This window comes from Homo sapiens, chromosome 5 (genome assembly GCF_000001405.40).
Source record: "Homo sapiens chromosome 5, GRCh38.p14 Primary Assembly".
NCBI lineage: Eukaryota > Metazoa > Chordata > Mammalia > Primates > Hominidae > Homo > Homo sapiens.
Window position 1 is genome coordinate 6,709,417 of NC_000005.10, and position 16,387 is coordinate 6,725,803.

General features: G+C 51.2%; 1 protein-coding gene across 5 annotated transcripts in view, besides 8 other annotated features; it reads left to right on the forward strand.

Annotated features, from left to right (window-relative positions):
- Positions 3,105 to 3,164: an enhancer, noted in NCBI's record as "active region_22336". NCBI's record gives its function as "activates an Ori minimal core promoter by ATAC-STARR-seq in GM12878 lymphoblastoid cells {active_cell/tissue: GM12878}" and the evidence as "EXISTENCE:reporter gene assay evidence [ECO:0000049][PMID:35858748]".
- Positions 3,335 to 3,774: a silencer, noted in NCBI's record as "silent region_15900". NCBI's record gives its function as "represses an Ori minimal core promoter by ATAC-STARR-seq in GM12878 lymphoblastoid cells {active_cell/tissue: GM12878}" and the evidence as "EXISTENCE:reporter gene assay evidence [ECO:0000049][PMID:35858748]".
- Positions 3,885 to 4,254: a silencer, noted in NCBI's record as "silent region_15901". NCBI's record gives its function as "represses an Ori minimal core promoter by ATAC-STARR-seq in GM12878 lymphoblastoid cells {active_cell/tissue: GM12878}" and the evidence as "EXISTENCE:reporter gene assay evidence [ECO:0000049][PMID:35858748]".
- The window catches only part of TENT4A (terminal nucleotidyltransferase 4A), a 43,613-nt gene continuing 31,241 nt past the window's right edge, over positions 4,016 to 16,387 (forward strand). For 2 of the 5 annotated variants that reach the window (NM_006999.6, NM_001171805.3), the window contains exon 1: positions 4,016 to 5,283. In NM_006999.6, coding sequence (NP_008930.2) covers positions 4,568 to 5,283 — 716 coding nt within the window. In that variant the 5' untranslated portion in view covers positions 4,016 to 4,567. Of the gene's footprint in view, positions 5,284 to 5,332; positions 5,704 to 5,725; positions 8,187 to 13,153; positions 16,386 to 16,387 lie in introns of those variants that run through there. The other 3 variants (XM_047416667.1, XM_047416666.1, XM_047416664.1) reach the window with 3 other exon arrangements.
- Positions 4,555 to 4,624: a silencer, noted in NCBI's record as "silent region_15902". NCBI's record gives its function as "represses an Ori minimal core promoter by ATAC-STARR-seq in GM12878 lymphoblastoid cells {active_cell/tissue: GM12878}" and the evidence as "EXISTENCE:reporter gene assay evidence [ECO:0000049][PMID:35858748]".
- Positions 4,995 to 5,384: a silencer, noted in NCBI's record as "silent region_15903". NCBI's record gives its function as "represses an Ori minimal core promoter by ATAC-STARR-seq in GM12878 lymphoblastoid cells {active_cell/tissue: GM12878}" and the evidence as "EXISTENCE:reporter gene assay evidence [ECO:0000049][PMID:35858748]".
- Positions 6,382 to 6,431: an enhancer, noted in NCBI's record as "active region_22337". NCBI's record gives its function as "activates an Ori minimal core promoter by ATAC-STARR-seq in GM12878 lymphoblastoid cells {active_cell/tissue: GM12878}" and the evidence as "EXISTENCE:reporter gene assay evidence [ECO:0000049][PMID:35858748]".
- Positions 6,732 to 6,791: an enhancer, noted in NCBI's record as "active region_22338". NCBI's record gives its function as "activates an Ori minimal core promoter by ATAC-STARR-seq in GM12878 lymphoblastoid cells {active_cell/tissue: GM12878}" and the evidence as "EXISTENCE:reporter gene assay evidence [ECO:0000049][PMID:35858748]".
- Positions 12,264 to 12,313: an enhancer, noted in NCBI's record as "active region_22339". NCBI's record gives its function as "activates an Ori minimal core promoter by ATAC-STARR-seq in GM12878 lymphoblastoid cells {active_cell/tissue: GM12878}" and the evidence as "EXISTENCE:reporter gene assay evidence [ECO:0000049][PMID:35858748]".

The window sequence follows — 16,387 nt, forward strand, 5'->3', positions numbered from 1 at the left end:
GGTATCTGCATTTTGACCAGCATTGCTAATTCTGGCATGGGTAGTCCATGGAATACACTTTGTAAACCATTTTTTTCATGGGAACAAATCACTAAAATCATGGTGTAATCTCTAATATTATTCCTCCTCCAATATCCGAAGAGAGAGAGGAGAGGGTTTCAGCCCAAAACGGGAATGGGCTGCACTTATCTGTAGAAATTGATAAAGAGAAAGATCTCCCTTGCCCAGCGTCTCAAAAACTGCATTTTACATTCAGTATTGTTTCTTGATTGCATTAAGAAATACACTGCAGCCGGGCACGGTGGCTCATGCCTGTAATCCCAGCACTTTGGGAGGCTGAGGTGGGTGGATCACTGGAGGTCAGGGGTTCAAGGCTAGCCTGGCCAACACAGTGAAACCCCATCTCTACTAAAAATACAAACATTAGCCGGATGCGGTGGCACACACCTGTAACCCCAGCTACTCAGGAGGCTGAGGCATGAGAATCACTTAAACTCTGGAGGCGGAAGTTGCAGTGAGCCAGGATTGCGTTACTGCACTCTAGCCCGGGTGACAGAGTGAGACTCTCTCTCTCTTTCTCTCTCTACACATATACATATATATACACATATGTATATATATGTATATGTGTATATATACATATATATACACTGCTTTTAATTTACATAAAAATATTTATGATCATATATAAATAACAAAACCTTGGTTTTAATTACAAAATGTTGTTTGGTGGCTGGTGGATCAAATCAACGAGGATTAGCTAGAGGCAAACTGCAAAGACAGAGTATGAGGCAATCAAGAAAAACTTAAAATACCTAAACAATGACAACCTGTGTAACAGATCCTGGAAGCTGGACAAGGGCAACTGCCCGTGTCCATTCCCGCTGGGCCAATCAATCAGCTGCCAGTCATTCTGCCAATGTTCACCAAGGACTGATGTGTCAGACAATCCTTGAGCTGATACACAGCAGGGACAAGCCATTCCTATCCTCTCTTCACGGAGCATGCATTCTAATGGGGCGGGGGACACAAATGATAAATGAGATAAAATACATATGACGTGGTATAGTGTCCCCCAAAAAGATATGATCAAGTCCCAACCCTGGGTGCCTGCGAATATGACCTTATTTGGAAACTCTTTGCAGATGTAATCAGGTTAGGAGGAAGACACTAGGGTGCCCTAATCCAATGCCACTGGTGTCTTTCTGAGAAGAGACATGGACACAGGGAAAATGCCATGCGATGATGATGACAGAGAGTGGAGCGCTGCATCCACAAATCAAGGACACAGGGAAACGTCATGCGATGACGTGTCAGAGAGTGGGGTGATGCACCAACAAGCCAAGGAATGCCACGGTTTGCCAGCAACACCAGAAGCTGAGAGGAGAGCATGGGGCACACTCCCTTACAGCCTTCAGAGGATACACGGCCTTGCTGACAACTTGATTTTGGACGTTCAGCCTCTAGGACTGTGAGAGCATGCGTTTGTTGTTTTAAGCCACCCAGTTTGTGACATTTTGTTACTCAGCTCCAGGAAACTAAGGGAGAAAAAGCAAATGGGGAAGGGAAACGGGATGCTGAGGGTTATGTTTGCAGTTTAGACTAAAGAGCCACTTGGACGTCCTCACTAAGATGGGGAGGAGGGAACGCATGTCAGGCAGATGGAACAGCAAGTGCAAAGGCCCTGAGGCAGGAGTGTGCCAGGGGTGCTTCTGGCTGGTATTGTTTGGGCTAGGGAAAGCGCTGGGAGGTGAGGGCAGGGGAAGAGGGGAAGGACCAGGGGATAAGGGACTTGCAGGTCATAGCAAGGTTGTTCCATTTTGCTGAATGAGAAAGCCACTGGAGGGTTTTGAGCAGAGGAGTGGCATGGACTGAATTTTTTAAAATGTCAACTTTAAATTCTGGGATACACGTGCAAGACGTGCAGGTTTGTTACATAGGTAAATGTGTGCCATGGTGGTTTGCTGCACTTGTGAACCCATCACCTAGGCATTAAGCCCTGCATGCATTAGCTATTTATCCTGATGCTCTCCCTTCCCCTAACCCCCAACAGGTCCCGGTGTGTGTTGTTCCCCTCCCTGTGTCGATGCATTCTCATTGCTCAGCTCCCCCTTATTACTGAGAACATGCGGTGTTTGGTTTTCTGTTCCTGTGTTAGTTTGCTGAGGATAGTGGCTTCCACCTCCATTCATGTCCCCACAAAGGTCATGATCTCATTCCTTTTTACGGCTGCATAGTATTCTAAGAGTGGCATGAGATGATTTTTAAAATAGTAACATCTTTTTTGTTTTTTAAAAAGGATCACACGAGCAGCTGTGCAGAATGTGGGAAACCAGCTAGAAGGCACTGCTTTAAAATGGACGGGTGGCGGGGAAAGAGGGGTGGAGGGAGGAGGAGGGGTAGCAGTTGGGTTCTGGTTGTTTCGGGCAGTGGAGCCAAGAGGATGTGTTCATTGTGGACAGAGAGAGGAGCCAGGCATGACCAAGGATTTTGGACTGAGCCATTGGAAGCAAACAGCTCCAGAATAACGGCCGTTTGACTTGTGTGTGATTTTCTGTAGTTTACTGAATGCACGTTCTAATCCTTGGTCATGATTTCCACGTGTACAATATGAAGGTATTTGAAAACGTCTGAAACATTCATTTTCATTACTAACCACCACCACTTGCCCCAAAGCCTTTGTATGCAACACACGGACCTTTCCTGTTGGGGCGATGTTTGAAGGGTCAAGTGCTTAGTAATGTCTACTCATCTGTGCTGGAGACGAGGGGGTAGCATTTACAACACGCCTGTACGAAGGCCAGGTCCCGTTCTACTTAAAAGGCTTGGAGCCCGGGCGCCACTGGGCTAAGGCAGCTTCAGGGCCCTGGCCCGGGAGTGCATTTGCGGGGACTCCGCCTGAAGACAGGGCGGCAGCCGCGGGGCCTCACGTCGCCCAGGCTCGCGGGGCACCGCGATGATCAACGACACTGGCGTTTGCTTTGGACCTCACAGGATGTGTGGTTGGCGCTGTATTCCAAACAGTGCCACTGTCAACCCGGCTTCCATCGCGCTCGGGACACCGGGATGGCAAACGGCAGGCTGTGGATGGCGGGCGGTTTCCCACTGACTCCTGCCCGCTCGGTGCAGCTGGAAAAACCGAAGCCGGGGGCCGGACGCGCCGCCCACCAGCCGTTCCTCGGCTAGCACTGCCCATTTTGCCCAGGGAATTAACTTGGAAGTTTTCACTTCACTTTTCGCATAGAAAATCATTTTAAAAAGCAAACCAAACGCCTGTAAGCAGACCCGCTAGGGAGCAGGACTCTGCCGCGTGTCCTTCCCGGCTCCGGAGCGGCGGAGCCAGCCACCCGGCACGGCACGCTGGCCGCTCACCCCGCGAGGTGCAGGGAGCACGTGGGCCGACGCGCGGACCCCAGAGAGCGCAGCGTGACCTGCTGCACGGACCCTCGGATGAGAGACCTGGGGCGGGATCTGCGACCGGGGCCCGCCCTTACGTCAGGAGGGAGGGCCGGCCGGCGGGGGAAGCGCCTGCGGTGGCGTCCGCTGCCCCCGCCCGGCTGCTCGGAAACTTCCACCGGCGGCGGTGACGGCCACGCTGCCCTGCGCACGCGCAGCGCGGCTCAGGCGGCAGCCCGGTGACACCGGCCCTAGCGCGCATGTCTGCACGCCGGGGTCTGCGCGCCGCGGCGGGCCGAGGGCGGCGTGCGGGCCTTCCAGCCGCTGCCTATTCCACCCAACGCCGGCCTAGTCAGTAATGGCTCAACGCCACCGCCTCTCCCTCCAGCCCCTCCCAGTCGCGTAGCTTCTGACGCCGTCCTCACCCCGCCCGCGGCCGACGGGGCCCCAACGCGCAGGCGCGGTAACCACGGCGGCAGTGTCTAGTGAGGATTTGAAATCGGTCGCGCGTGCGCACCGGCGACACGGCCCGGCGACCGAGGCCGCGCTTCCTCCTGCCGCCCCCGTCCCCGCCCCCTCCCCCGCCCCTCATTGGAGCGGACGCGGCGGCGGCCCCCTCCTTCCCCCGCGCTGTCGCCGCCGAGAGTGTCTTTTCACCGCCGCCGCCGCCGCCGCCGCAGGAGCGCCGAGCCAGCGGCGCGAGCGTGACTGAGGGCTAGCCGCACGGGCGGCGGCGCCTCCCGCGGGTCCTTCAGCCGCTCGGCGCCTGGGCCCGCCCCCTCGGCCCCGCCGCCCGCCCTTCTCCGATGGCCTCTCCCCGCGGCCCGAGTGGAACGCCGCCGCCGCCGCGGCCCCCGCGCCCGCCCCGCGCCGCGTGAAGCGGGAGCCCGGAGACCGCAGCCGCCCGCTGGGACGCGCCAAGCGCCGGAGCCGCCCGCCGCGGCCTGCCGGGGCCCATCACCGCCGCCGCCGCCCCACGCCGGAGCCCGACGGGAGCGCGGCTAGAGCAGGAGGCCGGGGCTCGGCCCGCCCGCCGCCGCCGCCGCCGCCGCCGCCACCGGCCCAGGCCCGTCCGTCCGTCCGTGCGCGCGCGGCCGGGCCTCGGGGCGCGGCGGGGGCGGGGCCGCGTCGGGGCGGGCGGGCGCGCGGGCCCCGCGGGGGCGGCGCGTGGATGGATCCGCGCGTGGCCTGGATCCAGCCCGAGCAGAAGGGGCCGGCCAATGCCCTGTGGATGCAGATCTGGGAGACCTCGCAGGGCGTGGGCCGCGGCGGCTCGGGCTTCGCGTCCTATTTCTGCCTCAACTCGCCGGCGCTGGACACGGCGGCCGCGGCGGGGGCGGCCGGGCGGGGCAGTGGCGGCCTGGGCCCCGCGCTGCCCGCCGCGTCGCCCCCGCCGCCCGGCCCCACCGCGCCCGCCGCGCTGCCCCCCGCGCTGCTGACGGCGCTGGGGCCCGCGGCCGAGGGCGCGCGGCGCTTGCACAAGTCGCCGTCGCTGTCGTCCTCGTCGTCGTCCTCCTCGTCCAACGCGGAGTCGGGCACCGAGAGCCCCGGCTGCTCGTCGTCGTCCTCCAGCAGCGCCTCGCTGGGCCGGCCGGGCGGCGGCCGCGGCGGCGCCTTCTTCAACTTCGCCGACGGCGCGCCCAGCGCCCCTGGCACAGCCAACGGGCACCCCGGGCCGCGCGGCCCCGCGCCCGCCGGCTCCCCGTCGCAGCACCAGTTCCACCCGGGTCGCCGGAAACGCGAGAACAAGGCCAGCACCTACGGCCTCAACTACCTGCTGTCCGGCAGCCGCGCGGCCGCTCTCAGCGGAGGGGGCGGCCCCGGGGCCCAGGCGCCGCGGCCCGGCACCCCGTGGAAGAGCCGCGCGTACAGCCCGGGCATCCAGGGGTGAGTGCGCGGGGAGGCCGCGGGGGCGGGGGCGGGGCCCATGGTCCTGGCCGGCGCCCGCGGTGCAGACACCCGTCCCAGGCGCCCGGGCTTTTGGAGGATGGATGTTGAAGGCTAAGGCCAAGGCCCGACTCTGCACTGAAAGTTTTTTTTTTAAACATCAGACTCATTTATCGTGGAGTGACTTGCCCAGATCCTACAAGTAACAGTCCAAGAAAAGGGGCTGCTGGGTAGGACCTGCAGGTATTTGTCTTTTTTACTCTTGAGATTGGAACGGGAAATCGACTCTCTACCCCTCCACCCCGCCTCCGGGCAAGTGAGGAACCCCTTGTCAAAGTGGGGCGTAGATAAGTGTGGAGTTTCACGTAAGTTAAGTTGCAGAATAATTTAGCATTGCCAGGAACTCGAATCACGTCGAAGGTAAATATTAACCTTTTTAATTTCATTTTTTAAAAAAATTTAACTGTCAACTTAGAGGTGATTCATTTTTTGGGGGGTGTTGTGTCCTTTAATTTTGTGCTGCAATTACCATAAGCATCGCCTATGGTTTATAAACATTGGCTTAATTCAAAGAAAAAACCAGATTTGTCATATATGTCTATTCTTTGGAAGGTGCCATTTTTATTTTAAATATTTCTACATCCGCCTAGAGGGAATTAGAGGCTCTACTTAAATTTAGTGCACTTACAGACGGCAAGGAATGAAACGAAAGGTGGTGTGTGTTTCGGGGTTGGAATTGTCCCAGGTGAGGCTGTTCAGGTGTGATGCTGTTGACGCAGCCCCTTTGCCATTTTGGGCTTTTCTGAGCGTCTGGAAGCAATTTATGTGTAGGTTGTATGTCAGTATTTTAAGACTTAAATGATAATTTTTCCTTGCACAATTTTTCCCCCCAATTTAAAAAACAATTAAGGATTTGCTGGGGTATGAGGGTTGTTGCATGCAGTAGAGTCCTACAAATAACCACAATTGCTAGGTGTTGGGAGTTCTTATAGTAAACTTTTGCTTGTAACTCTTTTTCTCATTTGAAGTATGTTGGGAAACACGAGTTGATACTTCTTTAAAGCGTGTGATACACTGTAATAGCTGCATGTTCTGTAACTTATTTCACCTGGCTTGGGCTACAAGCGATACCTTCTAAATTTCCCGAAGTGTAAACATGCAGTGCAGACGCCGGCAGGAGCGCAGACTCCTCTTCTCTCCCTCCAGTTCTTACCTGTAGAACTTTCTGAGAGCAGGTGGTTGGGAGCAGTTTCTTCTTGATGAATAGCAATATATACCTAAGGGCTCGCTTGGGGAGGACCTTTAGGTTTCCAGCCTGTTATGTAACTGGAATGGACTCCGTTTCTCTTAGCACTAGAAAAAACAGGAAGACACGTGGTCTCTGCCAGTCTTGGGTTGTACCTCTGCTCTTAGAAAGTGGTAGCGCATCAGGTCCCATGCACCTCACTTGGGCTCCCCGAGCTGTTTCCTCCAGGTAACTCTAGTCAGGCTCAGTAGGTGGTGTTGCTTTTGTTAGTGAATGAGCCCACTAGGATCAGGTGCTGTGCTAGGATCTGGGGATCTGGGGCAGGGACGGCATGGGAGACACAGTCTCATGATCTTGACCCACCCTGAAACCTGCCTGCAAGTGCCCCCTGCCTAGAGCACAAGAGTACCCTGCTCAGTTGTGCAGGTCCCCTCTCACGCTCTTCGTCACCCACGTCCAGTCTCTCATCACATGCTGTTCGTTTGGCCCTTTTAATCTCTCCACACCTCATCCTCCCTCATGCAGGCTCTTGTTACTTCTGTGGAGATTGCTCAAGCAGCCGGAGGTGCCTTTGATGCACTCTGGTCCTGCTTGAGTCCTTTCCCATCACAGGTAATGGGGCAATCTTCTCTGCCAGCAGGTCTGGTCAGATTCCCCTTCACCCTGTGATGTCACCTCCCCCATCTCCAATCCCCCACATTAAAGACTAAAGCCTAAAACTCAGCAACACCTCCAGGGCTCTGCTGCTCAGATGCCCCTAGGTCCTGGCTCCTGGCCCCACCCCTTGCCAACCCGTTAGAACCTAGCTGTAAGGCAGTATGGTGTAGGGCATGAGAGGGCTCTGAAGCCCACCAGGAGGTCTGGTTTGATACTGCAGTCATGCTCTTGGAACTTTCCTTTTCCCCTTTGCTGGAGACCTCTCCTTGCCTGTCTCTGGGTGGTGTGTACCATGCCTCCAGTATGGCCTTGGGTGCATCCGCTTCCTGCCGTCTCTGCCCAAAGGGGCCTGTGAGGACCACCTGCTCTGTGCCCAGAAGGGCACGGTGACCTCTGCTTGGGCTGCTATTCCAGCTACTCTTTCAGAAGCAAACCTAAGCTGTGGTAGAGTTGGGCCTGTGGCTAGAGGAGGTAAGGTCCCCCCTGTGATCATTTCCACATGGCCTGTTGGTCCTATATAAACTAACCTTTTTGTATCAATAAATAGTTCTGTCTAGAACTTGCTTCTGGCCATCAGCTTACCCAGAGTGTTGAGAAAGGCCACCAAAAAGTCTTTCGGTTGTGGCTTAGCTAAGGAAATAACTGAGTTTTAAAGGCTCACCTGGGCTGGCCAATAGTAAAGGACCTTGTTGCTGAGAAGCTGCTTGGGGTTGTGATATAGTCCCAGGACATGCACTTCTGAAAATGCAGTGTGTATTCCTCATGGGAGGATGAGCCTGCTGTGGAGCATTGGCTGAACCCAGTTGGGTCTTTGCCTGGTAGCCCATGTGGCAACCCTCACTGTTTGTCCTTTTCTGGGGAGGAGTTTTCTGCCCTTGGACACTTTGCCTGGTGGCTTGGCCTTGTGAGACTGCCAGTCTGCCTTCTGCTTCAAGTAGGATGAAGAAAAAGCAGGTGAAAGAGGACAGGGATTGGTGCAAGAACCTTCAGAGGAGAGGAGGTGAAATGCTTCTTTTGGCTCTGGTTCTTGAATCATTGTTTGATTGAAATCTCAAGCCTTTGTTTTGGGAGTGGTGTGCTTAGCGTGAGCTGTGCTATCTACCTGGGCTTCTGACCTAGAGATGTTGGGCAGGTGTTTGGACAGGCCCTGGGCCCTTTGCATCCCAGCCTCTGGCTGCTGTCACTTGCAAGTGCTCTCATCCCCTGACCCAGCAGGGCTTTGGGCTGTTGTTACTTTGTCATGGTCGTTCTAGCAGCTTTGGAAACCTCTTCAGGTTAAGAGTCTTGCATAAGTGAGAGTGGGAGCATGGCCCTCAGATATTTGGCCACATCCTTACTGGTGTGTTACAGAGACCCAGGAAGAATGTAGTTGAACGAGGACACATGCAGGTGTCCCGGGCCCTGAACAGCTTCTATTCAGAGTTTGGCCTTTCGAAGGCTGTGCCATCTCAGGTGTGCCTGCAGTGTGCAGCAGGTGTATGCAGCTTCCTCTTTGCAGGTTTCTTGGTATTTAATCTCATCCTTTAATATCTTCTATTAACTCAAAGGAAATTCTGTTCTTAGTTTGAAGTCTGAGAGAGACCGACGACTGTCGGCATAGGACATGGTCAGCCATGCCCCGCAAGGCGTCTGGTGAGAGTCGTTTCCAACTTGGTGCATGTTTTTCTCAATTCTTTCTTGCGAAGGAGTCACAGCTTGGAGGCGCAACCAGGATCCCCCCTCTCCCTCTAGCCTGACCTCACTGACATAAAGTAGAGCAGGTGTGACCTGTCCGGAACATCCTTGTGATGCTCAGCAGGGCCTGCTGCAGAGCACGGGAGGCATCACTCTAGGGGCCTTTCCCTCCCATACTTTCCTGTGAGTGTCCAGGATGCATGAGAGAGGTTGTTGTGAGACCTGCCTTAAAGGGTGGCGGTGGCACGTGTGGACCTTGCTTTCTGAGTTTCACTCTCCGAGTCCCAGAGGTATAAGCTTGTGAAGAGAAGCGTGTATGTATGATCACACTAAGCAGATACTTGCTCCTGCACTGTTGGAGGAGGAAGAGGAGTTAATTTCATCAATTAACTCTTCCAACACTCCTTCCATTTAGTAATAGCATCACTTGTTCCTGTCTTTTGTTCCATGGCCAAGCTCCACAAGGTGAAATTGAAAATCGAGTGCAAGACACTGGCTGTGCTGGAGTTGAGGAAAGTTTTGCTGGAGACCTGCTTGCACCATATGTCTGGTCACTGATAGATGAGGACTGGCCAGGTCAGGACAGCTGACACTTGGAGAAGGGGCTGCCCAGGAGGGCATGACAGACTCTGGAAAAGGAGGGTCGGAGTATTAAACTGGCTGGGAATGAGAGGCCTCCAATCTTTTCGCAGGAAAAAAAAAAAAAGGCTTAATGCTCGTGCTGTGGAAGTCAGAATGGAGCAAAGTGGGTTCTGTCTGTCTTGCTGCTGTGAGCGTGTGATGGAACAACAGTGTCATTTGCTTTTTCTCAGAAATATTTAATGCATGTTTGTGACATAATTTTTCAAAGTAATTTTAAGTAAATATTTTAAAGTAAAAAGTTCTAAGATTTGTGTCTCAAGGTAAAGTCTCAAACGTTCTTTGGTCACTATTTAATATGAGATTTTGTCCTCATTTTAAATGGATTCATGTAAGCGTCCTGTGGAAGAAGAGTTAATAGTTATCCTTGGAAAATAAGAACTTTTTATGCCTCAGTTAGGTCATATGGTTTAGGATCTGATTTTGTAGTTGTGGAGTAAAGGTTAAGAAAAAAAAACAGCAAACCTTGATATTCAAATTCAGAAACTTGATTTTTGAGGATGCAACCAGAATTTGGACTAAAGGTACAGAGGGGTGGCAGAGTCAGACCACCCAGACTTGCAGAAGATTGAAGAAGCCGCAGTGCTGCCATGAAGAGGCCCTTTCTAGGAGGTGTGGCTGGCTTGTCAGTGCTTTGTCTTCTCTGCAGTGAATTGGATGGCAAGCCTCGCCCTCTTCGAAAGCTGCCACTCTGAACCTGCCTTGAGAAGCACCTCAGGGAGGGCAGGCAGGTGGTCTCAGTCAGCGCTGACAGGTGTCCAAGTTACCTGACCTGTTGGGAACATGTGCCTGAGTGAGGTGGCCAGGATGCCTTTTCTCCCAACACTGGGGATGCACACTCGTCAGCATCCTATTTTTGAGATTTCTATGTTGTGGTAGTTCTCTGTTGCTGTGTAGCAAATTAACATAAACTCAGAGGCTTAGAAGAACACTCACTTATGGTCTTAAGGATTTTGTGTGTCAGATCAGGGATGGCGGGGCTGGGTTCTCTGCTTAGGCTTTTGCAAGGCTGAAGTCAAGGTGTTGGCCAGCTGTGTTCTCAGCTGGCACTCAGGGTCCTCTTACCAGCACATTCCTGTTATTGTCAGAATTCAGTTCCTTGCAGGATGGAAGTCCTTGATTGCTTGCTAGCTGCCAGCAGGGGAATTGGGTAGGGCGCTGTCAGCTTCTTAAGGCCACCTGCATTCCATCTGCAAAGCAAGGTACTTTGAATTTCTCTGATGTTTTCCGCCAGCTGGAGGAAGCCCCCTGTTTCTATGGGCTTGTGTTATTGAGTCAGGCTCCTGCAGATAACCTGCCTACCTGAAGGTCATGTAGTAGTACAACATGATCATGGTGTGATAACCTCATCAGAGCCACAGGTTCCAAGGAGTAGGGTGTAGGACCTTGAGGGGAGGAGGTTCTTCTGTGGGTAGACTTCCCCTGGCATAGAATCCGTTGATGAGCAGGTTGTGGTTCTTCTTGTCCAACACTTTTCCCCTGACTGGACTCCAGCCCATCGCAATGACTCTTGCAGATTGCCAGTTCCGTCCTCTGGCTTGGTGGTTACTACTGAACTCAGGCAGCCACTATAACCAGGAGAACCTTTCTGTGCTGCACTCAGATGAACATTCTTTAAAATATGTCATTTAAGAAAAGTTTGCAGGACTACTCGGGAGGCAGAGGCAGGAGAATCCTTTGAACTGGAGAGTTGGAGGTTGCAGTGAGCCGAGATCGCACCACAGCACTCTAGCCTGGTGACAGAGCGAGACTCTGTCTCAAAATAAATAAATAAATAAATAAATAAATAAATAAATAAATAAATAAAAGTTTGCAGGAAAGCCGTGTGAATATATGAAAATACAGTGATTGAAAAGTCCTGTTCACGAGGTGTCCTGCATTGGCTAGTTTAGGAAAGGGGTCTTTCCTATGCAGGTGGGGGTTGATGACTTACCCAAGAGTCACCTCTGGAACCCAGTTCTCTTAAGTTGATAGCAGTCTATCTTTGCTTTGCAGAAGATGTGGGGAACACTTGTCCTGCAAGCCCAGGTTCGTAGCAATGTTGGCTTCCCCAGAACCTTGGCTTCAGAGCACTGTGCCTCCTTTAGGAGGCACAAGAAAACTCCCACACGGTTCTTCCCTCTGTCCCTTCCTGAGCCCCCTGAGTGTTTGGCTCTTGTGGAGTTGCTGCTATTACTAAGTTGATCCCACTGCCCTCCTGAGTCTCCTCAGGGAAGGAGGGGCTGTATTGTAGCCCGCATTCTTAGTGCCAAGCACACGGTAGCCACTAAGTAAGTATCTCCCAAGAAAGAAGAGCAGGAGGAGGATCTGCCAACTCAGGAGAGCAGGTGGGGGATGGCAAGTCTTCGGAGTATTCATAAACCAAATGCTAAGGGAAACTTTTGTTGTTTGTCTTAGAATTTTAAAAAATAAAGTCTGTTGCAGTTTATCTGCTTTCCTTCCTGGAGAGTGGCTAAACTAGTGTTCTGTTTTACAATGTAGAATGCAAAAGCAGAAAACATTCAAGAAAATTCTATACTGTATTTGAAAAACATCACCATTTAGTTTTAACTGCTCTTTGTTTCTTATTATAAAAATTAATACCTAACTATGAAAAGTTAGAAAGCCTGGAGAAGTATGGAGGTGAGTTGTCCACCATTGGGCCACTAGAGAGTGCCCTATGAGCCTGTCCCTGGTGTCCTGGACTCTGGTGGTGTGCACTGCATTTGCTGGCAGTGAGCCAGGGGGTGGGCCACATCTGGGCCCGGGCGGGGTGGATCTCTGCAGAAGTTTATCCATCTCTTGGCTGACAGGGTGGGCGAGATGGGAGCAGCTCTGAGGGTCCCTGTTGGCAGAGAATGTCTTTGATTATCAACAACATGCCTTTTTGTTGTGGGCTTGTGATCCTTTTCTTTCCTAAATCAGCTGCCGTGCATAACCAGTTAGGCTCTCCTGTGGCTTCAGATTGGAGTTAGTTTCCCAAGTGCTAGGATGTGGGTGTTAGGTGATTTCTGTCTTTCCGTTTGAAAGAGATTTCAGATCATTGTAACATTTCTGGAATCCTGTCGATCTGAAGGAATGGCTAGGATGTAGTAGTTTAAGGGAAATGAAAAGTCGAATGTATTTTGATGTTTCTGCATCAGACCTGCTCGGTGGAGTCCATTTCTCAGCTTCGGGAGCCACGTGCTTGGCTCTTGAGAGCCTAGCTCCATCAGCCCATGTCACACACTCACAGGTCTGGCTTTAGCTGGTTTCGCCATGGTTTCTAACTTGAGCCTCAGTTTCCCCCCCTGTGAAGCAGAGCCTGTGGCACCCACCTCAGAGAGTACATGAAAGACTTGGAAGCACTCTGTGAGTTGTCATGCGAGAGATTAAAAAGGCCACCGCTGCCCTTTTCTCCTCTCTTTAAGGAAATTGAAACCAAAAATTAAGTCCTTCTTGCCAGCTGGACAGGAAAAGCCTTTTTCTTGGTTTTTGAAAATACAACTTCCACTTTCAGACCAAAGTGAAAACTGCTAAAGACTGAATATTCTGAGTCTTGGGAGTGGGGGGCTAGAGGGGTGTTGTGAATTGAAAGATACCTTTCTATTTTTAAAACATTTTAACAATGCCTTAATGATGAATAATGTCTGTTCTAGTTTTGCATTTGTTAGTTTTTTTTTTTTTTTTTTTTTAACTGTTCTGAAGGTACATCAGCACTGTTCTACAGCTTTAAATAAGAATCTCATCTCCCCAGAGGCAAGGGTACTCTTGATGTATTTGCTCAGGGCTGTATGTGCTGCTCCGTGTAACTCATTTAAAGTTGGTTAAGGTTTTTTTATTTCTTGCACATAGTAGAAGGAGTGGATGAAGTGTTTTCTGAACTCTTTGCAGCTTCTAACATAGTGTTCTGTGTATAGTGAAGGAAAACAAAATTAAGGGCCAGGGAACATTAAGTAGGCAACTAGAACAGCACTGTCCAGTAGAACTTCCTGTGGAGATGGAATAATTCTATTTTTGCACTAATACAGTAGCCACTGGCCATATGTGACTTTTGAGCACTTGAAATGTGACAAATGCAACTGAGGAGCTGAATTTTAATTTTATTTACTTTTAATTAAAATTTAAATGGCCATGTATTTAGACAGCTCTGAACTGCAGTAACTTTAGGCTCTATTTGAAACAGTGTTTGATTCAGTAACTGTTGCTGAAATAAATTGAAACTCATACAACAGTAAAAGCTGTGTTACTCAGCAAGTTATCACTGTGAAAGCTCTAGAAATTGTTTGAGTTTCCAATGCAAATCCTTTTCAAAAAGCCGCTGTTTTAATAGCACATGAAGCATAAAATAGGTTCATAGCAGAGCGCAGCACAGAGCAACATGGAGCAACTGTTATGACCTGGAGTGTCTCCAGTCCAGCATGCAGGTGATAGGTCTCAGCATTTTTGCACGCAGGTTAATGATGGTGCAGACGGTCACTTCCTTCTCTCAACAGTCTTCCTGGTCACGAGCACCATTGTGGCTCGTGTGTGGGGCTCTTTTGGCTTAGCTCTCTGCACGAGTTTGCTCCTTTAGTTCCCAGAGCTGACCCTTGAAATGAGTGATATTACTCCTGTTTTGTAGACAGAAAACTGAAGCCTTGACAGTCTGACGTGACCTGGCAAGAGGTGCTGCAGTTGGAAATGTGAATTCACGGCTGACATCTGGGCACTTTACTCCTAACAGTGTTCAGTGAACAAGACGTCGCTAACATGCGGGGGATGGAACCTAGCAACTCATTCTACAAACATGGTTCAAATATGTTGGTGCAGGGCCTTTTGCTTTGTTTTCCTAAAGAGATTAGATTCAGATGTGGTGGGGTGCTTTGACAGCCACCGCAGGACAAAGTTGATAGCTGTGGGGTTGCGGAGTGTTGAGGATTTCATAGGGAAGCCAGTCCTGCGCAGTAGTACGCTCAGGTTCGTGCTTTCTTGAGGTGTTCCAGAACTGGCCTGGAGGGAGGCTGCAGTGTGGAAGCGGGATTTCTGTCACCTGGAGTATTCTTAGAAGTTGCATTCTATGAAGAGTGGAGCATCTGATGAGCTGTTTACTCGCTGTTTCATCTGACGGCAGTTGAAAGACAAGGCAGGACTGGCAGCGCAGCTGCCTCAGTCAGCACTGCTGCACTGGGGGCTTGACCTGCAGTCTCGCAATCCTGGACTATAACTCATTTTGAAGAGAGAAAAATTAAGCATTAAGTGATTCAAGCGTCTTGCCCAAGGCGCTACTAGAAAATAAAGGCACTGGTGCCCAGATGCAGGTCTGCATGGTATGCAAGCCTGGGCTTCTTCCCACCTCCCCCACAGAGAGGGCACTGGTATGTTGGAGTGAAGAGCCACGCAAGACCTCTGTGAATGGGCAGAGATGGGCCAGTGACGCAACACAGTAAAGTGTATTTTGGTTATAGGCATCGTCTCTAAACTTATGTAAAACATTATTAAAAAATGGAAGGACAACGATGAAATGATGGCCAAAAATATAGAAAAGGATACCTTGCATGTCCTGTGAAATGCAAAGGAATTCTAAAGTGTCATTATGAGTTACCTCATGGAAGAAAGCAAAAGGTGAATCTATCTAGAGTTTGTGGTTCTGACTCACAAGAGACTGATGTTCATGCTGAAGGACGAGTGTGACAGGTGGAAGGATAGAGCACCGAGACCACACTCTAAAGGGTAGGAATCTATGGGAACTATTCAGGGAGATGAAAGCATGGAATGAACTGAAGCTTGCAGACTCGTTGAGTAAAAAGCGCGTTTTAGGATTGGTTTTAGAATAAAATAACAAGGCCTGTGGTTGGGGAAGATGACTTGCTGTTCACAGAGCCTCCCTTAATAGGTGGGGACCTCAGCTTTTCCTCTGCTGCCATCAGGTGAGTGGTGTACAGTCCTAGCCACAGTAGTAATCACCACTGGCCTGACTGAGCCCTCACCCTTTATACAGTGTCTCCTGCCACCCTCCTGGGAGAGGCTGTTCTCGGCACAGCTGGCCTGGGGTCACACAGCTGGTAGGTGTAAAGCAGGCATTGGAGTCCAGGTAGTCTCACTCCGTAGCCTGTCTCTTTAGCCACTGGAAATGTAGAGCAAAGCGAGAATTGTCCAAAGAGATAAGCTAATAAAGAGGAAAACAGGCTGGGTGCAATGGCTCACGCCTGTAATCCCAGCACTTTGGGAGGCCAAGGAGGGCGGATCACAAGTTCAGGAGATCGAGACCATCCTGGCTAACACAGTAAAACCCCATCTCTACTAAAAATACAAAAAATTATCCGGGCGTGATGGCACGCACCTGTAGTCCCAGCTACTTGGGAGGCTGAGGCAGGAGAATCTCTTGAATCCAGGAGGCGGAGGTTGCAGTGAGCCGAGATCACACTACTGCACTCCAGCCTGCGTGACAGAGCGAGACTCCGTCTCAAAAAAAGAAAAAAAAAAGAAAACAATTATGCTGAGTTCCAGAGAAGTGATGTCTGTCTTCTCAGGAGAGATGCCGATGCTGTCTGAGGGCCTGCCCAGTCTCCACATGATTCAGAGACTCCAGAGATGGACAGCTAGTGCCCTGATTTTCCCAAGAGGATTCTGAGGGTGACTTCTGTCAACCAAACAGGAGGACCTGGTGCTGTCATCACCAGTTGTAGAGAGGCTGCGGACCACCTGCTGTGTGTGCCATCTTACACTGCCATTTGCTGATTGCTTCAAAGCTAGAGGTTGTTTCTAAGAGTGCTTCGTGCTAACTAACTAAAACATAATGACATTGTTTTTGTAAAACTGATCCGTGGTTTGTTTTTTAAAGCAGAAAGCTCTAAAGTCACTCAGTCCCACCACCCAGAAGCACAAGCAGGTGGCTGCCACTGTAGGACCTCTCTCTCTAGGCTCGTGTAGATGGACACATGGATTGGT